General features: G+C 39.3%; 3 annotated features.

Moving 5' to 3' along the window:
- Window positions 6,555–7,185: an enhancer, noted in NCBI's record as "NANOG-H3K27ac-H3K4me1 hESC enhancer chr5:67076173-67076803 (GRCh37/hg19 assembly coordinates)". NCBI's record gives its function as "activates a minimal SCP1, AML or CMV promoter by ChIP-STARR-seq in naive and primed H9 embryonic stem cells {active_cell/tissue: H9 hESC(naive and primed)}" and the evidence as "EXISTENCE:reporter gene assay evidence [ECO:0000049][PMID:30033119]".
- Window positions 7,186–7,818: an enhancer, noted in NCBI's record as "NANOG-H3K27ac-H3K4me1 hESC enhancer chr5:67075540-67076172 (GRCh37/hg19 assembly coordinates)". NCBI's record gives its function as "activates a minimal SCP1, AML or CMV promoter by ChIP-STARR-seq in primed H9 embryonic stem cells {active_cell/tissue: H9 hESC(primed)}" and the evidence as "EXISTENCE:reporter gene assay evidence [ECO:0000049][PMID:30033119]".
- Window positions 13,055–13,349: a silencer, noted in NCBI's record as "tiled region #2346; K562 Repressive non-DNase unmatched - State 23:Low". NCBI's record gives its function as "represses a minimal TATA promoter and a strong SV40 promoter by Sharpr-MPRA in K562 cells {active_cell/tissue: K562}" and the evidence as "EXISTENCE:reporter gene assay evidence [ECO:0000049][PMID:27701403]".

Below are 26,869 nucleotides of genomic sequence, written 5' to 3'. Positions count from 1 at the left end.
CTGGATCCTGAGGAAAGGTAGAAGTGACTATGAAACTAGTAGACAGGGCAGGATAGTTTTTCAAAAGAAGGAAAAAAAAATATACTGCCACTCAAAATGAGTCTTCAAACAAAAATCCTACACATAAGATAAAGACAAATGCTAACAAAATCAGCAACTGGGAGATAAGTTTACCTAAAGACTAAAACACTACAACAATCTGAAATTTAGTTTAAAATTAGTGCATTGAGGAAGCTTAAAGTGATAATGAAAGGAAGAATACCTCCTCCCTCAAATACTAAACAAAAACAATCAAACAGAGAATTAGTAAGTTAAACGCAGTGCTAAGAAATTGATCTGGGACACAATACAGGGAGAAAAATTCATTAAAAATGTACCAGAGCAGTTGAGAAATGTATAGGATAAGTTGTGAGGGTTTTATAATATACAACAGGAGCCCCAAGGGGAGAGAAGAGAAGAAATGAGAGAGAAGCAATACTAAAAAACAAAAAATAAAAATAAACTGTCCAGAATTAAATAAATACATTATTTCTTAGACTTAAAATGCCCTGTGTAGGAAGAATTAAATCCAGATCTTAAAATTCAATTGATATTTTATACATCAAGTATAAAATGAAGACTGGATGACAATTAGAATAAAAGTAGACTTCTATCAACATTAGTAGATGTTTAAAATCAATGGAATATTTTTGATGTTGATGATAAAAATAACTGCCAATGTAAATTCTATGATAAGCTAAGCTATTATTCAAGTGTAAGACATAACGTTTAAAATGCTTTATCATTCGTAACCATTGTTGATAACCACTAATTGACATGCTTCTTGAAGAAAAGGAAATCCAGAGGAAAAGCTTGAGACATGAACAATAAGGGCAATTGTGGAAATGAGTAAAGTATGCTAGTGTGACAGATTGTATTTGTTCAGTAGCATCACACCAACATTTTCCTTTTTTTTCTTTTTTTTTTTTTTAATATACTTTAAGTTTTAGGGTACATGTGCACAACGTGCAGGTTTGTTACATGTGTATATATGTGCCATGTTGGGGTGCTGCACCCATTAACTCATCATTTAACATTAGGTATATCTTCTAATGCTATCCCTCCCCTCTCCCCCCACCCCACAACAGGCCCAGGTGTGTGATGTTCCCCTTCCTTTATCCATGTGTTCTCATTGTTCAATTCCCACCTATGAGTGAGAACATGCGGTGTTTGGATGTTTGTCCTTGCAATAGTTTGCTGAGAAAGATAGTTTCCAGCTTCATCCATGTCCCTACAAAGGACATGAACTCATCATTTTTTATGGCTGCATAGTATTCCATGGTGTATATGTGCCACATTTTTTTTTAAATTTTTTTTTTATTTTTTATTTTATTATTATTATACTTTAAGTTTTAGGGTACATGTGCACAATGTGCAGGTTAGTTACATATCTATACATGTGCCATGCTGGTGTGCTGCACCCATTAACTCGTCATTTAGCATTAGGTATATCTCCTAAAGCTATCCCTCCCCCTTCCCCCCACCCCACAACAGTCCCCAGAGTGTGATGTTCCCCTTCCTGTGTCCATGTGTTCTCATTGTTCAATTCCCACCTATGAGTGAGAATATGTGGTGTTTGGTTTTTTGTTCTTGCGATAGTTTACTGAGAATGATGATTTCCAATTTCATCCATGTCCCCACAAAGGACATGAACTCATCATTTTTTATGGCTGCATAGTATTCCATGGTGTATATGTGCCACATTTTCTTAATCCAGTCTATCACTGTTGGACATTTGGGTTGGTTCCAAGTCTTTGCTATTGTGAATAGTGCGGCAATAAACATACGTGTGCATGTGTCTTTATAGCAGCATGATTTATAGTCCTTTGAGTATATACCCAGTAATGGGATGGCTGGGTCAAATGGTATTTCTAGTTCTAGATCCCTGAGGAATCGCCACACTGACTTCCACAATGGCTGAACTAGTTTACAGTCCCACCAACAGTGTAAAAGTGTTCCTATTTCTCCACATCCTCTCAGGCACCTGTTGTTTCTTAACTTTTTAATGATTGACATTCTAACTGGTGTGAGATGGTATCTCATTGTGATTTTGATGGGCATTTCTCTGATGGCCAGTGATGGTGAGCATTTTTTCATGTGTTTTTTGGCTGCATAAATGTCTTCTTTTGAGAAGTGTCTGTTCATGTCCTTTGCCCACTTTTTGATGGGGTTGTTTGTTTTTTTGCAAATTTGTTTGAGTTCATTGTAGATTCTGGATATTAGCCCTTTGTCAGATGAGTAGGTTGTGAAAATTTTCTCCCATTTTGTAGGTTGCCTGTTCACTCTGATGGTAGTTTCTTTTGCTGTGCAGAAGCTCTTGAGTTTAATTAGATCCCATTTGTCAATTTTGGCTTTTGTTGCCATTGCTTTTGGTGTTGTAGACATGAAGTCCTTGCCCATGCCTATGTCCTGAATGGTAATGCCTAGGTTTTCTTCTAGGGTTTTTATGGTTTTAGGTCTAACATTTAAGTCTTTAATCCATCTTGAATTAATTTTAGTATAAGGTGTAAGGAAGGGATCCAGTTTCAGCTTTCTACATATGGCTAGCCAGTTTTCCCAGCACCATTTATTAAATAGAGAATCCTTTCCGCATTGCTTGTTTTTCTCAGGTTTGTCAAAGATAAGATAGTTGTAGATATGCGGTGTTATTTCTGAGGGCTCTGTTCTGTTCCATTGATCTACATCTCTGTTTTGGTAGCAGTACCATGCTGTTTTGGTTACTGTAGACTTGTAGTATAGTTTGAAGTCAGGTAGCGTGGTGCCTCCAGCATTGTTCTTTTGGCTTAGGATTGACTTGGCAATGTGGGCTCTTTTTTGGTTCCATATGAACTTTAAAGTAGTTTTTTCCAATTCTGTGAAGAAAGTCATTGGTAACTTGATTGGGATGGCATTGAATCTATAAATTACCTGGGCAATATGGCCATTTTCATGATATTGATTCTTCCTACCCATGAGCATGGAATGTTCTTCCATTTGTTTGTGTCCTCTTTTATTTCATTGAGCAGTGGTTTGTAGCTCTCCTTGAAGAGGTCCTTCACGTCCCTTGTAAGTTGGATTCCTAGGTATTTTATTCTCTTTGAAGCAATTGTGAATGGGAGTTCACTCATGATTTGGCTCTCTGTTTGTCTGTTATTGGTGTATAAGAATGCTTGTGATTTTTGTACATTGATTTTGTATCCTGAGACTTTGCTGAAGTTGCTTATCAGCTTAAGGAGATTTTGGGCTGAGACATTGGGGTTTTCTAGATATACAATCATATCATCTGCAAACAGGGACAATTTGACTTCCTCATTTCCTAATTGAACATCATTTATTTCCTCTTCCTGCCTAACTTCCCTGGCCAGAACTTCCAACACTATGTTGAATAGGAGTGGTGAGATAGGGCATCCCTGTCTTGTGCCAGTTTTCAAAGGGAATGCTTCCAGCTTTTGCCTATTCAGTATGATATTGGCTGTGGGTTTGTCATAGATAGCTCTTATTATTTTGAGATATGTCCCATCAATACCTAATTTATTGAGAGTTTTTAGCATGAAGGTTGTTGAATTTTGTCAAAGGCCTTTTCTGCATCTATTGAGATAATCGTGGTTTTTGTCTTTGGTTCTGTTTATATGCTGGATTACATGTATTGATTTGCATATATTGAACCAGCCTTGCATCCCAGGGATGAAGCCCACTTGATCATGGTGGATAAGCCTTTTGATGTGCTGCTGGATTCGGTTTGCCAGTATTTTATGGAGGATATTTGCATCAATGTTCATCAAGGATATTGGTCTAAAATTCTCTTTTTTGGCTGTGTCTCTGCCTGGCTTTGGTATCAGGATGATGCTGGCCTCATCAAATGAGTTAGGGAGGATTCCCTCTTTTTCTATTGATTGGAATAGTTTCAGAAGGAATGGTACCAGTTTCTCCTTATACCTGTGGTAGAATTCGGCTGCGAATCCATCTGGTCCTGGACTCTTTTTGGTTGGTAAACTATTGATCATTGCCACAATTTCAGAGCCTGTTATTGGTCTACTCAGAGAGTCAACTTCTTCCTGGTTTAGTCTGGGGAGGGTGTATGTGTCTAGGAATTTATCCATTTCTTCTAGATTTTCTAGTTTATTTGTGTAGAGGTGTTTGTAGTATTCTCTGATGGTAGTTTGTATTTCTGTGGGATCATTGGTGATATCCCCTTTATCATTTTTTATTGCGTCTATTTGATTCTTCTCTCTTTTCTTCTTTATTAGTCTTGCTAGCGGTCTATCAATTTTGTTGATTGTTTCAAAAAAACAGCTCCTGGATTCATTAATTTTTTGAAGGCTTTTTTGTGTCTCTATTTCCTTCAGTTCTGCTCTGATTTTAGTTATTTCTTGCCTTCTGCTAGCTTTTGAATGTGTTTGCTCTTGCTTTTCTAGTTCTTTTAATTGTGATGTTAGGGTGTCAATTTTAGATCTTTCCTGCTTTCTCTTGTGGCATTTAGTGCTATAAATTTCCCTCTACACACTGCTTTGAATGTGTCCCAGAGATTCTGGTATGTTGTGTCTTTGTTCTCATTGGTTTCAAAGAACATCTTTATTTCTGCCTTCATCTCGTTATGTACCCAGTAGTCATTCAGGAGCAGGTTGTTCAGTTTCCATGTAGTTGAGCAGTTTTGAGTGAGTTTCTTAATCCTGAGTTCTAGTTTGATTGTACTGTGGTCTGAGAGACAGTTTGTTATTATTTCTGTTCTTTTACATTTGCTGAGGAGAGCTTTACTTCCAACTATGTGGTCAATTTTGGAATAGGTGTGGTGTGGTGCTGAAAAAAATGTATATTCTGTTGATTTGGGGTGGAGAGTTCTGTAGATGTCTATTAGGTCTGCTTGGTGCAGAGCTGAGTTCAATTCCTGGGTATCCTTATTAACTTTCTGTCTCATTGATCTGCCTAATGTTGACAGTGGGGTGTTAAAGTCTCCCATTATTATTGTGTGGGAGTCTAAGTCTCTTTGTAGGTCCCTCAGGACTGGCTTTATGAATCTGGGTGCTCCTGTATTGGGTGCATATATATTTAGGATAGTTAGCTCTTCTTGTTGAATTGATCCCTTTACCATTATGTAATGGCCTTCTTTGTCTCTTTTGATGTTTGTTGGTTTAAAGTCTGTTTTATCAGAGACTAGGATTGCAACCCCTGCCTTTTTTTGTTTTCCATTTGCTTGGTAGATCTTCCTCCATCCCTTTATTTTGAGCCTATGTGTGTCTCTTCACGTGAGGTGGGCTTCCTGAATACAGCACACTGATGGTCCTTGACTCTTTATCCAGTTTTCCAGTCTGTGTCTTTTAATTGGAGCATTTAGTCCATTTACATTTAAAGTTAATATTGTTATGTGTGAATTTGATCCTGTCATTATGATGTCAGCTGGTTATTTTGCTCGTTAGTTGATGCAGTTTCTTCCTAGCCTCGATGGTCTTTACAATTTGGCATGTTTTTGCAGTGGCTGGTACCAGTTGTTCCTTTCCTTGTTTAGTGCTTCCTTCAGGAGCTCTTGTAGGGCAGGCCTGGTGGTGACAAAATCTCTCAGCATTTGCTTGTCTGTAAAGGATATTTCTCCTTCACTTATGAAGCTTAGTTTGGCTGGATATGAAATTCTGGGTTGAAAATTCTTTTCTTTAAGAATGTTGAATATTGGCCCCCACTCTCTTCTGGCTTGTAGAGTTTCTGCCGAGATATCTGCCGTTAGTCTGATGGGCTTCCCTTTGTGGGTAACCCGACCTTTCTCTCTGGCTGCCCTTAACATTTTTTCCTTCATTTCAACTTTGGTGAATCTGACAATTATGTGTCTTGGAGTTGCTCTTCTCAAGGAGTAGCTTTGTGGCGTTCTCTGTATTTCCTGAATCTGAATGTTGGCCTGCCTTGCTAGATTGGGGAAGTTCTCCTGGATAATATCCTGCAGAGTGTTTTCCAACTTGGTTCCATTCTCTCCTTCACTTTGAGGTACACCAATCAGACGTAGATTTGGTCTTTTCACATAGTCCCATATTTCTTGGAGGCTTTCTTTGTTTCTTTTTATTCTTTTTTCTCTAAACTTCCCTTCTCGCTTCATTTCATTCATTTCATCTTCCATCACTGATACCCTTTCTTCCAGTTGATCGCCTTGGCTCCTGAGGCTTCTGCATTCTTCACGTAGTTCTCGAGCCTTGGCTTTCAGCCCCATCAGCTCCTTTAAGCACTTCTCTGTATTGGTTATTCTAGTTATACATCCGTCTAAATTTTTTTCAAAGTTTTCAACTTCTTTGCCTTTGAATTTCTTCCTGTAGTTTGGAGTAGTTTGATCGTCTGAAGCCTTCTTCTCTCAACTCGTCAAAGTCATTCTCCGTCTAGCTTTGTTCCATTGCTGGTGAGGAGCTGCGTTCCTTTGGAGGAGGAGAGGCACTCTGCTTTTTCGAGTTTCCAGTTTTTCTGCTCTGTTTTTTCCCCATCTTTGTGGTTTTATCTACTTTTGGTCTTTGATGATGGTGATGTACAGATGGGTTTTTGGTGTGGATGTCCTTTCTGTTTGTTAGTTTTCCTTCTAACAGAGAGGACCCTCAGCTGCAGGTCTGTTGGAGTTTGCTGGAGGTCCACTCCAGACCCTGTTTGCCTGGGTACCAGCAGCGGTGTCTGCACAACAGCGGATTTTCATGAACCGCCAATGCTGCTGTCTGATCGTTCCTCTGGAAGTTTTGTCTCAGAGGAGTACCCGGCTGTGTGAGGTGTCAGTCTGCCCCTACTGGGGGGTGCTTCCCAGTTAGGCTGCTCAGGGTTCAGGGGTCAGGGACCCACTTGAGGAGGCAGTCTGCGCGTTCTCAGATCTGCAGCTGCATGCTGGGAGAACCACTGCTCTCTTCAAAGCTGTCAGACAGGGACATTGAAGTCTGCAGAGGTTTCTGCTGTCTTTTTGTTTGTCTGTGCCCTGCCCCCAGAGGTGGAGCCTACAGAGGCAGGCAGGCCCCCTTGAGCTGTGGTGGGCTCCACCCAGTTGGAGCTTCCTGGCTGCTTTGTTTACCTAAGCAAGCCTGGGCAATCGCGGGCGCCCCTCCCCCAGCCCTGCTGCTGCCTTGCAGTTTGATCTCAGACTGCTGTGCTAGCAATCAGGGAGACTCCGTGAGTGTAGGACCCTCCCAGCCAGGTGCGGGATAGGATCTCCTGGTGCGCCGTTTTTTAAGCCCATGGGAAAAGTGCAGTATTAGGGTGGGAGTGACCCGATTTTCCAGGTGCCGTCTGTCACCCCTTTCTTTGACTAGGAAAGGGAACTCCCTGATCCCTTGCACTTCCCGAGTGAGACAATGCCTCACCCTGCTTCGGCTCACACACGGTGCCCTGCATCCACTCTTCTCCACCCACTGTCCTGCGCCCACTGTCTGGCACTCCCTAGTGAGATGAACTGGTACCTCAGATGGAAATGCAGAAATCACCCGTCTTCTGCGTCACTCACGCTGGGAGCTGTAGACTGGAGCTGTTCCTATTTGGCCATCTTGGCTCCACCTCCACGTTTTCTTAATCCACTCCATCATTGATGGACATTTGGGTTGGTTCCAAGTCTTTGCTATTGTGAATAGTGCCGCAATAAACATACGTGTGCATGTATCTTTATAGCAGCATGATTTATAATCCTTTGGGTATATACCCAGTAATGGGATTGCTGGGTCAAATGGCATTTCTAGTTCTAGATCCCTGAGGAATCGCCACACTGACTTCCACAATGGTTGAACTAGTTTACAGTCCCACCAACAGTATAAAAGTGTTCCTATTTCTCCACATCCTCTCTAGCACCTGTTGTTTCCTGACTTTTTAATGATTGCCATTCTAACTGGTGTGAGACGGTATCTCATTGTGTTTTTGATTTGCATTTCTCTGATGGCCAGTGATGATGAGCATTTTTTCATGTGTCTTTTGGCTGCATAAATGTCTTCTTTTGAGAAGTGTCTCTTCATATCCTTCGCCCACCTTTTGATGGGGTTGTTTTTTTCTTGTAAATTTGTTTGAGTTCATTGTAGATTCTGGATATTAACCCTTTGTCAGATGCGTACATTGCAAAAATTTTCTTCCATTCTGTAGGTTGCCTGTTCACTCTGATGGTAGTTTCTTTTGCTGTGCAGAAACTCTTTAGTTTAATTAGATCCCATTTGTCAATTTTGGTTTTTGTTGCCATTGCTTTTGGTGTTTGAGACATGAAGTCCTTACCCATGCCTATGTCCTGAATGGTATTGCCTAGGTTTTCGTCTAGGGTTTTTATGGTTTTAGGTCTAACATTTAAGTCTTTAATCCATGTTGAATTAATTTTTGTATAAGGTGTAAGGAAGGGATCCAGTTTCAGCTTTCTACATATGGCTAGCCAGTTTTCCCAGCACCATTTATTAAATAGGGAATCCTTTCCCCATTTCTTGTTTTTGTCAGGTTTGCCAAAGATCAGATAGTTGTAGATATGCAGCAATACTTCTGAGGCCTCTGTTCTGTTCCATTGGTCTATATCTCTGTTTTGGTACCAGTATCATGCTGTTTTGGTTACTGTAGCCTTGTAATATGGTTTGAAGACAGGTAGCGTGATGCCTCCAGCTTTGTTCTTTTGGCTTAAGATTGACTTGGTCGAGACCATCCCGGCTAAAATGGTGAAACCCCGTCTCTACTAAAAATACAAAAAATTAGCCGGGCGTAGTGGCGGGCGCCTGTAGTCCCAGCTACTTGGGAGGCTGAGGCAGGAGAATGGCGTGAACCCGGGAGGCGGAGCTTGCAGTGAGCCGAGATCCCGCCACTGCACTCCAGCCTGGGCGACAGAGCGAGACTCCGTCTCAAAAAAAAAAAAAAAAAAAGATTGACTTGGCAATGCAGGCTCTTTTTTGGTTCCATATGAACTTTAAAGTAGTTTTTACCAATGCCATCACAGCAACATTTTCAGTCTAAGCTATTGTAGAACCTTGTCACATACACATCAAGAGATTGAGTCTATTTTCTCCAGCCTTGAAGTTTGGGAGACTATGGAACTGCTCTAATGAGTAGGACACTATGAAAGTGGTACTGTATGAATTTCAAGGCTAAGGCAATACGGCTTCTGTTTGCCTGTCTCATTCTTGGTACATTTGCCTTGAGAACATAGCCATCATGCTGTGAGGAAGCCCAAAGTAGCCTACACAGAGAAACTACATGGAAAAAAATACAAAAAGAGAAACTGAGGCCCTCAGCCAATGGCCACATTCCCAGGAGACCTTTTAAAATGTGGGACAGAGATAAACTCTCCCTACTTAGAATACCCATACTACCCAAAGCAATCTACAGATTCAATGAAACCTCAATCAAAATACCAATGACATTCTTCACAGAAATAGCAAAAATGATCCTCAAATTCATATGGAACCACAAAAGACCCAGAACAGCCAATGCTATCCAGAGAAAAAGAACAAAACTAGAGGAATCACATTACCTGACTGAAATGATACTACAGAGCTACAATAACCCAAATGGCATGGTACTGGCATAAAAACAGACACATAGACCAATGGAACAGAACAGACAATGCAGAAAAATATTTGTACATCTACAGCGAACTCATTTTCAACAAATGTGCCAAGAACAGATATTCAGAAAAGGACAGTCTCTTCAATAAATTGTACTGGGAAAACTGGATATCCATATGCAGAAAAATAAAACTAGAACCCTATCTCTCACTACATACGTAAAGCAAATCAAAATGGATTACAGACTTATATCTAAGACCTCAAATTATGAAACTACTAAAAGAAAACATTGAGAAACTCTCCAGGATGTTGGGCTGGGCAAATATTTCTTGAGTAGTACCCCAAAAGCACAGGCAACCAAAGCAAAAATGGACAAATGTGATCACATCAAATTAAAAAGCTTTTGCACAGGGCAGGAAACAATCAACAAAGTGAAGAGACAACCCACAGAATGGGAGAAAATATTTGCAAAGTATCCAGGGACAAAGGATTAATAACCAGAATATATAATATCAATGGTCATCAGAAAAAATGCAAATTGAACTACAATGAGCTATTATCTTACCCCAGTTAAAATGGCTTTTATCCAAGACAGGCAATAACAAATGCTGGCGAGAATGTGCAGAAAAGGGAACCCTTGCACACTGTTGGTGGGAATTAGTACAACCACTATACAGAACGGTTTGGAGGTTCCTCAAGAAACTAAAATTAGAACTATCATACGATTCAGCAATCCCACTGATAGGTATATACTTAAAAGAAAGGATATTAGTATACTGCAGAGATATCTGCCCTCCCATGTTTACTGCAGTACTATTCACAATAACTAATATTTGGAAGTAACCTAAGTGTCCACCAACAGATGAATGGATAGAGAAAATGTGGTACATATACACAATGGAGTACTATTCAGCCATAAAAAACAGTGATATCCTGTCATTTGCAACAACATGGATGGATCTGGAGGTCACTATGTTAAGTGTAATAAACCAGGCACAGAAAAACAAACTTTGCATGTTCTCACTCATTTGTGGGAGCTAAATAATTAAAACAATTGAACTCATGGAGATAGGGAGTAGAATGATGGTTACCAGAGGCTGGAAAGAATAGTGGGGTGGTGGAGGCAGGGTAGAGTAGGGATTGTTAGTGAGTACAAAAATTAGTTAGATCGAATGAAGATCTAGTATTTGATAACACAACAGGGTGACAATAGTCAACAATAATTTATTGTACATTTTAAAGTAACTAAAAGAGTATAATTGGACTGTTTGTAACACACAAAAAAGGATAAATGCATTGTGTGCCTGTATAAAAATATCTCATATACTCCATAAATAAATACACCTACTATGTACCCACAAATATTAGACACACACAGATACATGCATGCACTGACTCACAAAACTTTCTAAAATGCTCTGCTTAAATTCTTAACCCACAGAATCCGTGAACAAAATACTGATTTCTTATGCCACTAAGTTTTGGAGAAACTTTTATAGCACTATATTTTGTAGAACAGTTATTATATTTAACTACTATTAAGAAGATTTTGGTAACTAATATTAATTATAGTAATAATAGAAGAAAAATGGAGGGTAGTAAGTAGAAGTTGTTTAGTAGCTAGTTTTTTGCTTGATTTGGGAGAAGGGTAAAGATATTTAATAAACTCGGGCTTTGATAAGATTTTATAGTTAAGTTTGTAGGCTAAGCTTTTGAAAACAACCATTAAAAGAACAGAAATTTAATAAATGAATCCAATCCAGAAATGAAGGAAAAGAAAGGAGGTAATAATGAAAATTTCATACATGTATACAATCAGAAACAAACAACACAACATAACAATAATTGACTGATTCACATTTCTTTTCAAATTATCAGAATTCTAATTGATTTAGGCTACATTAAATTAAAAAATGCAAAGAGTAATAAGAATAATACTCCATGTCTTAGATTTTTAGATATTATACGTTTTAGAAAGTTTTGGTCTTTTCAGGTATGTAATTCACCAGGTAGGTTTTAACCCTTAGACTTTTAGAGGATACTGTGTATAGACAGAGTTGAAGGCCAGAGAAAAGTGAGTTTTATTAAACCATGTATCAGCATATTTTAGTTAGAAAATAGTGTCACCATAGTGATTGTTCATATTAGTTTTCCTTGGCCAGACTCGGTGGCTCACGCCTGTAATCCCAGCACTTTGGGAGGCCAAGGCAGGCAGATCACGAGGTCAGGAATTCAAGACCAGCCTGACCAACAATACAAAACACAAAAATTAGCCGGGCATGGTGTTGGATGCCTGTAATCCCAGCTACTCAGGAGGCTGAGGCAGGAGAATCGTTTGAACCTGGGAGGCAGAGGTTGCAGTGAGCTGAGATAGCACCACTGCACTCCAGCCTGGGTGACAGAGTGATACTCCATCTCAAAAAAAAAAAAAATAGCTTTCCTTTATTATTATTATTATTATTATCATTATTATTATTACTATTATTACTATTATTTTTGAAACTGAATCTTGCTCTGTCTCCCAGGCTGGAGTGCAATGGCATGATCTCAGCTCACTGCAACCTCCATCTCCCAGGTTCAAGTGATTTCCAGCTAATTTTTGTATTTTTAGTAGAGATGGGGTTTCACCATGTTGGCCAGGCTGGTCTCAAACTCCTGACCTCAAGCGATCCAACCGCCTCAGCCTCCCAAAGTGCTGCGATTACAGGCATAAGCCACCATGCCTGGCCTTAAAATTAGCTTTCTAAATCCCTCTACTGGAAATACATGGTAGGAAAGTAGTCCAAATAGTTTATTATAAATCACACAATAACTGATTTATTAAGAAAATGGCGGCAGTCTTCCCTCGGCCAGATACAGTTGTTTGTTAATCCACCTTATTTTTATTTAGATGACACACACACAAAATAGCTGCCATTTGTTACAGACAGCATTGGACTCAATTTGCCAACACATTTCACCAATTGTTTACCATTGTTCTCTGCATCTTTGTCTCTCCCTTTGTGCTTCCATCAGATGCAGTAATGAATGCATGCTGCAGGCACACTCTAGAATAGAGAAAAAAGGAGAAGTCACAGTTCTGTGATTTTAAGCTGTGTGCTCTTTTCTACTCTTCTCATCTGTACGCCAATGGGATCCAGCAAAGATGGGTGCCAGAACAAAGCAAAGCGGAAGAGGATGCCAGAGGGAAACCATGATAACTTTGTGGGGTTTTTTTTTTTTTTTTTTGCATTACAAGATAACTTTTTCTTTTCCTTTAAGACGTTTAATAGCATTTACTAAGATATCACTTGTTTGTCTTCATTCATATATTGCTCTATACTGAGTTAACCATAATTGTATGTGTCTTATCTTTTTATTTAGACTGTGTGCCCTCTGAGAAAAAGTATTTTTTAAATACTAGTATTTCTGGCATTTAATATTGTGTTGAAACATAGGAAATACAACAATGTTTGATGAATAAATAAATGCCACAGATGAGAAAGAAACTTTCTCATAATTTTCTCTATAATGAATTTGCTCTATAAAATGAGATTAAGAAGTCCACCCAAGGAATTTAATGACAGAAGTGGAACAAGAAACCAAAGACCTTGGCCTCCCTTCACCCCTCAAATCCAGCACTTTCCACAGTACCACACTCAAAATTCAGAAAGCTCAGGCTTGGAAGCCTTCAGATGCCTTCCTGGCAGGACTGTGTTAGGCACACCAGAATTGCATGAGACGACGCCTATGGTCTGTGCTGTTATGAAATATCATAACAGTGATCCAGTGGCTTTGATGTCTGCCAACAATTGCAAGTAAAGAAAGTGGTTTAATGACACAGGCATACTGTGAGCAAAATCCTTAGGTTGGCTCCTTTTGCCCTATAATATTTGTATGTGTAAGGAAACCTTTTACCCCTTCTACAGCTCTCTCTTTCCTTGAAAAGTCCCAAATATTAACCCTGAGAGATGACTTTCTACTTGCCACTGTAGAAAGAGTACTTACTTATCTGATATTACATACCACTCCTTCTTTGTCTCTGTGTTAATAACTTAATAATCTTGGGTGCACTTCCTGGAGTCCATAGACAAGAGGTAATAATTTTTCTCCTCACCATTATTCCTTTTCTGTTTTGTAAACTTACCCAGTATAGTACAATGATCTTCAACACCAAAAATTAGTTGGCAACTAAGTTGTAAGTTATGAATAATCCCCCAGTTATTTCCTCTGGGTAGGTTCATTGATTAGGATGTATTTTTCTCTTTCAACCTTATCTTTTAAAGGTCTTGTGAAGTTTTACCTTACATTTATTGCCCAGCAGACTAGAAAGACAGGAGAGAAGTGGTGGCAAGAAGAGCTGAATGGAATCGTTGATTATAATTGACAAAGAACTGCAGTGTGTGTGCAGAAAACAAAGAGACCTTTGTGTTGGTGGGAAGCATGTGACCGGCCGCCCTAATTTGGTCAGAGCTGTTCCATTTGCTCATCTACTTCTCTGGATGTTCTTCAAGATTCTGATTGAACCTGGTCTTTTCCACAACCTTTCCCATTTTCCCTGAGTCATCTTAGGGGATAAGAGCAAGAGAAGACTCCTGTTAACAGCCATATGATTCACCCTTCAGGCCTTTCCCTCAATTTTCTAAAACATAGTCTTGAAATAGTTTTGATCATGGATTAAATCAGTACAACATATACCCCATTTGTAAGTTATCCTCATGTACTGCCTATTCTGATACTTTATGCTAATATATTATGTAACATAAAACACACAAAAATTAGATTTAAAAAGATGAAAAATGAATGCAAATAGCAATTTTCTTAGTATTTTTCCTCTGCACCCTAATGCATCACCTTGTATACCTCCAGGGTGTTTACACCCTATTTTGGAGGCTCTTACCAAAAGATACTTATGAGTTGACCAAAGACAAATACAGTCCAATCTGAGAAGCTGCATCCTCTTTTTGAGGTCATTTGGGATTGTGACAACCAGGCAGCTTCCTCATGTTTCTGGATACTGCTGGGAAGACTGTTCCAAAAGGTACCCAAAAGCAAATACCCAACCCCAGTGTTCTAGAGACCAAAAATCTAGTCCCAGCCCTATCATTAACCAGCTCTACAACTCTAAGAAACTCATTTAAACTCTCTGAATTTGTCATTGGTGAAACAAAAACAAAAACGAAAAAACTTTCTTGCCCATTTCACCTAATTGCTATAAATATCAAAGACGGCAAGGGATTTGCAAGAATTTCTAAAAGAATAACACAGAATACAACTATAAGGTAGTATTGTTATTATTTTTAAAGATAGTGGAAGGAAGGAATATCCTACCTGCTCCCCTGCCCTCTGCACTGTTCATTGCATCAACAAAACTAACTCAATGCAGACACCCTCCCTCTTGCCCTCCTGTACTGTGTAAATGATCACTGGTGAAAATTGAAGCTGTTTAGTTTTAGATTTTAGTGAATACTTTCCCAACTCTTCCTCCCAAGATTTTAGAATCATAAAAGGTAAGAGGAAGATAATAATTTTAGAGTTGAAGGTAGCTGAAAGATTATCCCAGCTAGTATTCTTATTTTGTGGATGAAAATATTGAAGCTGAGTGAATTTCAGAGAGGCTAAATGATTTCTCCAGGATCACACAGCTAGGAAAGGAGCCACATCAGACCCTGAGAGCCATATTGGAACCTATTTTGGAATCCTTTTTTTTTTTTTCCTACAATGCTGCTACGGTTCCTTTCCTTCTTTCCATGCTGACTGCCAGGGCTGCTTCACATCATTATGGTACTCTAGTCAATCATTTATAATTCCTCTTCAGCTGTGTTTCTCTCAGGAGCAAACTATGTCTGTATTCTCCATTGCAAAAGATTCTCTTCTTTTGCATCCATATCTTTAAGTCTTACAAGTCAATTCCATCCCCCTAAACTGTCTCCAATTCTTTCTTACTGTTATTCAACTCCTACTCTGATCACCTCGTTAGCTACCCGTGATGTTTCCTTGTCAGGAAAGGACTGTGGATTAGATGGCCAGAGGTGGCCATTTAACTTGTCACGGAAGGCGTCTGCCTCTTCCAGAGCACTGACAGCTGTTGTGTCAGTCACACAAGGTAAAATAACCTTCTCACAGAGTAAAAATAAAATGGTAAACATAACCTTCTTACACAAGTCTCACACCAAAAGTAGGCGTGAATATTTTGGAGAGAATTTAGAAACGGGTGATAGAGATGGCACAGGCAGAAGCTGGTTAGATGGATATGTGTCCCTCCCTTCCAGGGTTTTTGTTTCTAACCAGGAGGTTAGAAACCATCCTTTTTCTTCTTTTTTCCCTTTCTTCCTTTGGCACCAGCCACTCCCGACCTCCCAAATACCCACCCAAATCCATCTCAGATTTAATGTGAAATTATGTTCATGTTGTATTTTCAATGGTTCCTGTTTTCTTCTACCTAGATCACTTTTAGGTATTTAATGGTCAAATATTCTCTATGAGTAAGATAGATTAAATCTCAGGATCCATGCTTCTAATGGGGCAAAAGTGAATTACTGAACACATTTAATAAAATGTCTCAGAAGGAAGCCTTGGCCCAAGTCATCACTGTAAGATGAGTAGCCAGAGATCTGAAGCAAAGAGCTGGCAAGATTTTTTGTGATTTCCATTTATTCTTGGCTTTGTTTTTATCAAACGTCCACTTGGGGTGTAATAGGATCAGAATGCAAATAGATCACCAGCATGACTTTTGAGAACAAAGAAAAATTTATATATACTCTGTTACCAATTTGTCTTTTAGGAATATCTGGCCATTTAAATATTTATGTCACCCAGTTTGTACGTGGAAGAAAGGCCAGCATTTTCTAGTTTGTTTTTCCCCCACCTGAGTGTTATGTGGTACATCTGACACCAGAGCACCTACTGAGGCTCCTAGCATAGGGCAGGTGTTCCATAAATGATTACTAAGTTTAACTGACTTGTGTTCAAAACCCTGATAACTGCAGTCAAAAAGCTGAAACGTTTCTCTTTGTCTAAATGTTAATGTTAAACACAATGCGAGCTCAAGATAAAAAAAAAAAGTAGAAAATGGTGAGTTAGAGGAAGGGGAGATAGGACAGCAGACATCATGCTCTGAGAACTAGTCTAAAATGTCGCAAGAGGTGGATGGCATGAAAGGCCAGTGTTTCCTGGAATGTGTCATAAGACTCTGAAGATAAGAGATCTGCTAAATAGTCACTAAAGGGAAGTGAACCTTGAGCACAAAAGATGTAGGAGGTAGAGGGGTAAGCCCGGAGGTTGCTGCAGCCAGGAAGGAGCCTGGATTTGCCCCACCCATCACCTCCTCTGCCTTCACTCCCATTCTAGACCCCACACGTTGGCTCATGTTCAGTGCAGGTACAGGGTACAGGCTGAGTGCTTTCCAGGCTCACCCTGCCAGAGTTTACCAGGCAGAAAGGAGAAGCAGGGAATGACTCCTTGCTTCTCCACCTCTCACTCCACCCCTGCCAGAAATTTAAAATATTTGATGGCAAAGAAACAATCTTTCCAACTGCTGAACTCTGACACTGCGTACAACATTGTCCAAACACTTCTGCTGCTGGCCTTTGTTAGAGGTTTTTTGCTCTGAAGCCACACAGGTCCCTATGTATGTGTTTGGGCCAGAGGCAGGGGTGGGCAGTGAGCTTTAACCTTGAACCACATTTACTTTACTAATAAGAATTCTTTCTTTTTCTTTTCTTTGTTTCTTTTTTTTTTTTTTTTTTGAGACAGAGTCTTGCTCTTCACCCAGGCTGGAGTGCAGTGGTGCAATCTCAGCTCACTGTCTCAGCTCACTGCAACCTCTACTTCTCGGGTTCAAGTGATTCTTCTGCCTCAGGCTCCTGAGTAGCTGGGATGACAGCTGTGTACCACCATGCCCAGGCAATTTTTGTATTTTTAGTAAAGACGGGGTTTCGCCATGCTGGCCAGGCTGGTCTCAAACTCCTCAAGTGATCCACTTGCCTTGGTGATATGGATTGTCTGTGTCCCGGCCCAAACCTCATCTTGAATCGTAGCTCCCATAATTCCCACATGTTGTAGGAGGGACTCTGTGGGAGATAATTGAATCATGAGGGCAGTTTCTCCCATACTGTTCTTGTGGTAGTGAATAAGTCTCATGAGATCTGATGTTTTTATATGGGGTTTCCCCTTTCACTTAGCTCTCAATTCTATCTTGCCTGCTGCCATGTAAGACGTGCCTTTTACCTTCTGCCATGATTGTGAGGCATCCCCAGCCATATGGAGCTGTGAGTCTACTAAACCTCTTTTTCTTTTTAAATTACCCAGTCTCTGGTATGTCTTTATCAGCAGTATGAAAACGGACTAGTACACACAGCCTCTCAAAGTGCTGGGATTACAAGCGTGAGCCATCATGCCTGGCCAGAATTCTTAACTTCTGATGGTAACTAGGTTTACATTGGAGCACATGGTAATTAGTGAATTTTCTAAGATAGTGTATTTGGAAAAAAGATCAAACAAACAAAAACGAAAACTTATGTCAACATTTAAAACTAACCTTGAAGGCTACTTTAACATTATAAAAAGATTTCACAATAAAATAAGTGTTTTAAAACTTTCACAGATATATTTACAGGACACTGCCAGACACCTTTCTGCCTGCCTTAGTCGAATGCTTTTGCTTTTTGTTATTTTTCCATTGCATCAAGCTTCACACCTTCCTCTAAAGATCTTTAGAAGCCCGGCTGAGCTACTTTGATATCTCCATTAACTAGAGCTTCTAGGTAAGATCTCAAAGGCTTAGGTGATTTGCAAAACGTTCATATATATCTTCCTGAAATATTCAGTTGCTCTAAGCTCATTTGCAGTATCAGAAGATTTGGGTGAAAGGAAAGATTTTAAAAGTCTTGCAGCTACTCTGTCCAACACAGTACCTGCAGGAGAACGTCAAACACTTAAAGTTTGGTGAATGCACCTGAGGAAATATTAAGTATGTTTGGAACAAAGTGGGTAGGTGTAACTTTACAACTCAGATTTTATGAAATCTAAGTACAAATAAGTGTGTTTTATGGAAATTTAGTATTAGAGTTGAGATAGGCTGTAGGTGTAAAACGCATGCCATATTCGAAATACTTCATGTGAAAAAACCTCATTAATACATGTCAATTGATTAAATGAGGAAGTGATAATGTTGCAGATATACTGGGTTGAGTAAAGTATATTGCTAAAATTAATTTTACCCTCTTCTTTTTACTTTTGTAATGTGACTGCTAGAAAATTCAAGACTGCACACATGTGTGGCTCGCATTGTATTTTATTTGATAGTCGTGGTTCAAAAGGCAGTTTTGACTTAAACTATTACAATTAATCCATCTGCCTACTTGTTTCTCTGCAGTAAATCTTAATATTTCTCTTTCAAGTATGCTTTTTTGTTTTCAGATAGAATTACCTAAATCTTCAAAAGGTAACTGAAGTTGAGAAGAGAAGCCAAAAGAGACAAAAGCCTCCAGCCAATAAGCATTCCCCATGAACAAGCAAATGCAAATGCTTCTTACTATAGTCTCGAAATGTGTAGTTCTAATTCTCAAGTGATATATGTATTTAGTTACTGATGGAATCACAGAGAGATTTAAACAAGCAGAAGTTACCATAAAATGGAAACAGAAATTGCGTTCTGACCAGTTTTTCATGACACTTTATGGGAAATATTGGAAATGAGAGAGAAATGCTCTAAGAATAAACTGTTATGGTATTGAAATGGTGGTACATGGAACTTTTGACTTATAGGAAAAACACTATAATGGTGGCTACAGCATGTCAAGAGATGAAGGTGGGAGATAGGGGAAGAAAACCACTTACAATATTTCCAAATCAGAATTTTTCTTTGGATATTTTCACTTTTTTTTCTTTTCAGAAGTCTTAGCTCAGCCCAGGGTGAGCTCCTTCTGCACCTGAAAAATCCTGTCCTTGAAATCTCTAATGCCATCCCTGCAAATCACTACTGGATACAGGATCCGTGCACTCTGACTACTCGGGTGCTGTGTGCTTCACTGCCTCTTATACGGCAATCACATCTACAAACAATCTCATTCTTCTATAGTGCTTAATCCAATGACAGCCCTATTAACCACCCCATCACAATGAAGAAACCCTAGTTACCTTCAGTTGATCTTTCTTTCTTACCTCCCCGACATCTAATCAATCAATCAGTCAATCACCAAGTCTAGAATCTTTCAGTTGTATCGCTTCTCTCCATCCCCATTTATCATCTCTATACTGGACCCAGTAGCCTCATGACTCATCTCCATGTCTTCAGTAGTATCCCCTGGGAATCCATACTTGAAAAATTTTCCAAAATTATCTACCTTAAATTTGTATCTGACCACATCAGTCCCCATTTAAATACAGTCAAAGACTACACATCGCCTATAGAATTCAAGTTCTTCTGGGGGACCTGGAAGGCGCTTAGCACCTGGCAGCCACAGATTAACCTCTATAAATTCATTTCTTCCTAACCTCTTAACTTATACCTATTCAGGCCAAAATAATATCAACTGCTTATGATTCCCTGTAGACCCTATGCTATCTTAGGAATTTCTGCTTTCACTTGTGCTGTTCCTTCCATCTGGAACACCTTTCCCACTTATTTTAATATTGCTTATCCTTAAAGACCCAACTTAGTTATAGCCTCTCACAGGAAGTCTTGTCTGAACTTCTAGGCTGAACTAGGGTCATTCTGCTCTGTATTTCCGTAGCACAAGGGGAAGATTTCCAGCTCAGTACTTAATGTATTGTATTGAAATTATTAAAATTATCTACTAAGTGTCTGTTTCTTCTACTAGACTCTAAGGACTCTAACACTCACTAATGCAGGGACCGAAACTTATTCATCTTTGTAATTCCACTGCTGATTTCAGCCGGCTTTTGGTAAACATTTGTTGGACTAAATTGAGCAAGAGGAAGTGTCTATAAGGACTGGGGTTGGAAGCCTTTATACTTATAAAATCAGAGATTAGACTCTTGGTTGTTTCACTGTAGACCAAGGAGCTGAAATGACAATAAAGCAATAACATAGGTGCAGAATGAGATTGAGAAAAGAAAGTAGCCACAAGCTGTAGGCATTTTAAAAAAATCTTAAGGGAGAGACTGACATCAGCTGTGAACACATGGGGTGCCCGCACCAGCGGCCTGAAATCTAGACCCTTCACTCTCCCATTCCTGTCCCTCCGAAGCATGTGGCCCTTAATTCTACCATTACAACTTGTTTTATGAGATTTCTCCTGTAGAAAATAATTGCAAGTTCAAGGAGTATAATTTTCCAAAGTCCAGACAAACCTGATTCTCTTTATAATTAAAACAAAGCCAGCCCTTAGGAAATCAACACATCAAGTCCCAGTATGAAGAAAAGAAGGAGCTGAAAGTAGAGGCCAAATGACTTATCCAATGACAGTTTTGAGAAAGTTTTCTGATGACTTTTTCAAGTAGCAACTCAAACCCACAGTGTGAAAGCCTTCTATTTTCTACTGAGGAATCAATGGGACCTGGAAGATTCAATTGGCAGTTTTCATTTCTTGCTCAGCACCAAAGACTTTGCCTACATGGCCTTTGCCTAATGGCAAAGTTGGCTTTTATTTTATGTTCCGGGGCACATACAAGGCAATGTGAGTTTGAAGGGCCTAGGGCATGTGACTAATGTTCCATCTCTCACTTTATGGAGACACCTCTTTAAATGTTATCTAAGTAACTGAAACACAACAAAACCCCACAATGAACTCTGGATAGAGGAGAGAGCATTCATTCAAAAGGGGAGTTGCCTTTTAGAGCCTCATGCTTGTGTTTGGCTTTATTACAGCAGCAAACCAGTCAAGAAGAGCTGATCTTGTGGCTTCAGATTTTCCAAGCCAGATGTACAGATGAATGTGAGGATCAACAACAAAAAGCATATTTGAAAAACTTTTAAGTCCACTTGAACTTGTATAGGTTTCACATGCACTCTGTGATCCCAAGGCTTATGAAAGAGTGTGTGTTCTAGGACCATGGTGCCTGGAGGCTTGTGGATAGGCAGGTATTTCTACACCAAGATATTGAGACAACTGTCACCCTGGAAAATGAGCATAGCAGCCTCTCCCTCTTCTTCCCACACTTCTGGACAGAGATTTTGCCCCAGGAGAGTGTAACATGTGCTGACACAGCAGGATGAGGTGGGAAGAGTAGCAGTGACAGGAGAATGAGCAACGAGGTCAAAAGTAATAGCAGAGTAGCAGAAGGGAGGTGATGGTCTGGGAAGAAGGGCAAATCTGACAACCGTGCATTATGTTGTCAAATGCTAAACCAAGTGAATCTTACTCCCTTTTAGACTGTGGGAAAAGGGGATTATGACTGAGTGTGGTTTTCCACATCATTCTCTAGCGATCATACCTCTCCAAATGTTAAGTGAGACTACATTGGCTACAAGACATGTAATTGAGCCCAGATAGAAAGGGCCTGATAAAGGTAAGATGGTAAATATTGCCCACATACAACTGCATACATTTAGAAATGAAACTTTCCTTGAAGGCGTCCTCTTTATACTGTGCCATGCATTGTCAAAGCTTCCCTAACCATTTCTTGTGTTACCAGATAGTTGTTCTTGTATATGACATTGCAAGAGTGAGTGGCAGCAGTGCACACTCAGTGCCAAATATCTGCAGCATGAAGGAGGTAGCCATTGGTGCTGGCCAATGGTGGGTTCTTCAGAAGAAATGAACATGTTGCATAGAACAAAATGTGGCCTCCAGTGAGCCCCAGATGGACTGGCCTTGGTAAGACTTCCAGAGGAAAATCTTACCTGCTGAATTGCCTTCTGTCTAAATCACAACCTCTATGGCTTGGTCAAACCACAAATGATGATAAAGATGCCAGGGCCCTCCTTTCTTACTATCCTCTAGTATTTATAGAGTGAATTGTGGACTAACACTGTGGGTATCCTCACACCTGTATCTCATTTAATCTCCATGGCCCCTGTGGTGATGAGGTTGGTATTACCACTCCAATCTCATCTCCTACCACCTTTCTCCTTTTGCTCACCCACCCTGGCCACACTGGCCTTCTTGTAGTTCTTCCCTTACCCCTAGGCCTTTACAACTGTGCTTCATGCCTCAAAGTTCTCCCCACATTCTTCGCAGAGCTAAATCCCCAGTTGAGTTTTTTCTTAAACACCACAACCCCAGAAAGGCTTTCCCTGACCATCTCATCAGCCTACTCTTCCAATCCACCCATCTCTATCCCTACACGTTCTATCATCCTACTCTGTCTTATTTTTCTTCAAGCACTTTTAACTATCTAAAAATTACATTAGCCTTTATTGGGCTATGTTGGTGTTGCTTTCTGTGTCTGCAACTACAACGCAGGATTCATACGAGCACAGGCTTTGTCTGTCTTTACTGATTTGTAGTGTGGATCAGTGTTTGATGTATGTTAGTAGAGTGGTAAATATTTGTTGATTGATTCAGTGAATGAATGATGTAAGAAAAATGTATAGTTAATTGGCTTGCTCAATATTACTCAGTTAGGCAAAAGAGGAGATATGACTCTAAGCACTGGTCTTTGGATTTCAAATTCCATGCTATTCCCTGTACACAAGGTTGCCTCCATTGCAAAACTTATATTTGGTTTTAATGTTTATTCTAGGGAAAAAATAAATGAATCCAGACAGGAATCCTAAGGCCACTGTCACAATTCTTAAGATTTAGAGCTCACATATTATCAGACATTTAATTTTTAGTCTTACCAAAGTTGAAAGCAACAGTTTCCCTAAGAGAATGCAAAGCTATACAACCAAAACTATAGCTTCTCCATGAGTGGGAGCTATAAAACCGCCATGAATTGAGGGTATTTCCAGTCAATTTACAATAAAGAGTGATATCACTAATGGAACTTCAAAAAGCTTGTCATCTTGATTTCAAGTGAACAGATTATAATTCTGATTAGACTGTTTTTCTCAAACACTCACCACTTACGTGGATGATAGTGATGTTCCTTACTCCTCATGTCCCCAAACAGAAGAAATCTCTTCCTTTTGATATCGATTGCACTTGGTTTATACTTCTCGTGTGTTCCCCATCATAAGATCTACATATATAAAAAAACTAAACATATTATAAAATCTCTACTGTTTGTTTAATATGAATTAAACATTTATATTACTATATCAAGTATTTTTCAGATGTAGAGTGCTATATTACATATCTTTATATAAAATTTGGTATGTAAAATTCCTGAATAAGGAAATAATTCATAATTCCACACAATTGTACAGATAAATTATAGAATCATCTTATCAAGTTTTAAAAAAATTCTACTGGAATTGTGTTTTATATTTTATGTTTATTTTATTAAACTTATAAGTTAATTTTTTTTATTATACTTTAAGCTTTAGGGTACATGTGCACAACGTGCAGGTTAGTTACATATGTATACATGTGCCACGTTGGTGTGCTGCACACATTAACTTGTCATTTAACATTAGGTATATCTCCTAATGCTATCCCTCCCCCCTCCCCCCACTCCACATCAGGCCCCGGTGTGTGATGTTCCCCTTCCTGTGTCCATGTGTTCTCATTGTTCAATTCCCACCTATGAGTGAGAACATGCGGTGTTTGGTTTTTTGTCCCTGCGATAGTTTGCTGAGAATGATGGTTTCCAGCTTCATCCACGTCCCTACAAAGGACATGAACTCATCATTTTTTATGGCTGCATAGTATTCCATGGTGTATATGTGCCACATTTTCTTAATCCAGTCTATCATTGTAGCACATTTGGGTTGGTTCCAAGTCTGCTATTGTGAAGAGTGCCGCAATAAACATACATGTGCATGTGTCTTTACAGCAGCATGATTTATAATCCTTTGGGTATATACCCAGTAATGGGATTGCTGGGTCAAATGGTATTTCTAGTTCAAGATCCCTGAGGAATCGCCACACTTGACTTCCACAATGGTTGAACTAGTTTACAGTCCCACCAACAGTGTAAAAGTGTTCCTATTTCTCCACATCCTCTCCAGCACCTGTTGTTTTCTGACTTTTTAATGATTGCCATTCTAACTGGTGTGAGATGGTATCTCATTGTGGTTTTGATTTGCATTTCTCTGATGGCCAGTGATGATGAGCATTCTTTCATGTGTCTTTTGGCTGCATAAATGTCTTCTTTTGAGAAGTGTCTGTTCATATCCTTTGCCCACTTTTTGATGGGGCTGTTTGTTTTTATCTTGTAAATTTGGGTGAGTTCATTGTAGATTCTGGATATTAGACCTTTGTCAGATGTGTAGATTGTAAAAACTTTCTCCCATTCTCTAGGTTGCCTGTTCACTCTGATGGTAGTTTCTTTTGCTGTGCAGAAGCTCTTTAGTTGAATTAGATCCCATTTGTCAATTTTGGCTTTTGTTGCCATTGCTTTTGGTGTTTTAGACATGAAGTCTTTGCCCATGCCTATGCCCTGAATTTTATTGCCTAGGTTTTCTTCTAGGGTTTCTATGGTTTTAGGTCTAACATATAAGTCTTTAATCCATCTTGAATTAATTTTTGTGTAAGGTGTAAGGAAGGGATCCAGTTTCAGCTTTCTACATATGGCTAGCCAGTTTTCCCAGCACCATTTATTAAATAGGGAATCCTTTCCCAATTTCCTGTTTTTGTCAGGTTTATCAAAGATCAGATAGTTGTAGATATGTGGCATTATTTCTGAGGGCTCTGTTCTGTTCCATTGGTCTATATCTCTGTTTTGGTACCACTACCATGCTGTTTTGGTTACTGTAGCTTTGTAGTATAGTTTGAAGTCAGGTAGCGTGATGCCTCCAGCTTTGTTCTTTTGGCTTAGGACTGACTTGGTAATGCGGGCTCTTTTTTTGGTTCCATATGAACTTTAAAGCAGTTTTTTCCAATTCTGTGAAGAAAGTCATTGGTAGCTTCATGGGAATGGCATTGAATCTATAAATTACCTTGGGCAGTATGGCCATTTTCACGATATTGATTCTTCCTACCCACGAGCATGGAATGTTCTTCCATTTGTTTGTATCCTCTTTTATTTCCTTGAGCAGTGGTTTGTAGTTCTCCTTGAAGAGGTCCTTCACGTCCCTTGTAAGTTGGATTCCTAGGTATTTTATTCTCTTTGAAGCAATTGTGAATGGGAGTTCACTCATGATTTGGCTCTCTGTTTGTCTTATTGGTGTATAAGAATGTCTGTGATTTTTTCACATTGATTTTGTATCCTGAGACTTTGCTGAAGTTGCCTATCAGCTTAAGGAGATTTTGGGCTGAGACGATAGGGTTTTCTAGATATACAGTTATGTCATCTGCAAACAGGGACAATTTGACTTCCTCTTTTCCTAATTGAATGCCCTTTATTTCCTTCTGCTGCCTGATTGCCCTGGCCAGAACTTCCAGTACTATGTTGCATAGGAGTTGTGAGAGAGGGCATCCCTGTCTTGTGCCAGTTTTCAAAGGGAATGCTTCCAGTCTTTGCCCATTCAGTATGATATCGGCTGTGGGTTTGTCATAGATAGCTTTTATTATTTTGAGATACGTCCCATCAGTACCTAATTTATTGAGAGTGTTTAGCATGAAGGGTTGTTGAATTTTGTCAAAGGCCTTTTCTGCATCTATTGAGATAATCATATGGTTTTGGTCCTTGGTTCTGTTTATATGCTGGATTATGTTTATTGATTTGCGTATATTGAACCAGCCTTGCATCCCAGGGATGAAGCCCACTTGATCATGGTGGATAAGCTTCTTGATGTGCTGCCGGATTCAGTTTGCCAGTATTTTATTGAGGATTTTTGCATCGATGTTCATCAGGGATATTGGTCTAAAATTCTCTTTTTTTGTTGCATCTCTGCCAGGCTTTGGTATCAGGATGATGCTGGCCTCATAAAATGAGTTAAGGAAGATTCCCTCTTTTTCTATTGATTGCAATAGTTTCAGAAGGAATGGTACCAGCTCCTCCTTGTACTTCTGGTGGAATTTGGCTATAAATCCATCTGGTCCTGGACTTTTTTTGGTTGGTAAGCTATTAATTATTGCCTCAATTTCAGAGCCTGTTATTTGTGTATTCAGAGATTCAGCTTCTTCCTGGTTTAGTCTTGGGAGGGTGTATGTGTTGAGGAATTTATCCATTTCTTCTAGATTTTCTAGTTTATTTGCATAGAGGTGTTTATAGTATTCTCTGATGGTAATTTGTATTTCTGTGGGATTGGTGGTGATATCCTCTTTATCATATTTTATTGCATCTATATGATTCTTCTCTCTTTTCTTCTTTATTAGTCTTGCTAGCATCCTATCAATTTTGTTGATGTTTTCAAAAAACCAGCTCCTGGATTCATTGATTTTTTGGAGGGTTTTTGTGTCTCTATTTCCTTCAGTTCTGCTCTGATTTTAGTTATTTCTTGCCTTCTG

This window comes from Homo sapiens, chromosome 5 (genome assembly GCF_000001405.40).
Source record: "Homo sapiens chromosome 5, GRCh38.p14 Primary Assembly".
NCBI classification, from domain to species: Eukaryota; Metazoa; Chordata; class Mammalia; order Primates; family Hominidae; genus Homo; species Homo sapiens.
This window is presented reverse-complemented; position numbering and strand designations above follow the sequence as displayed.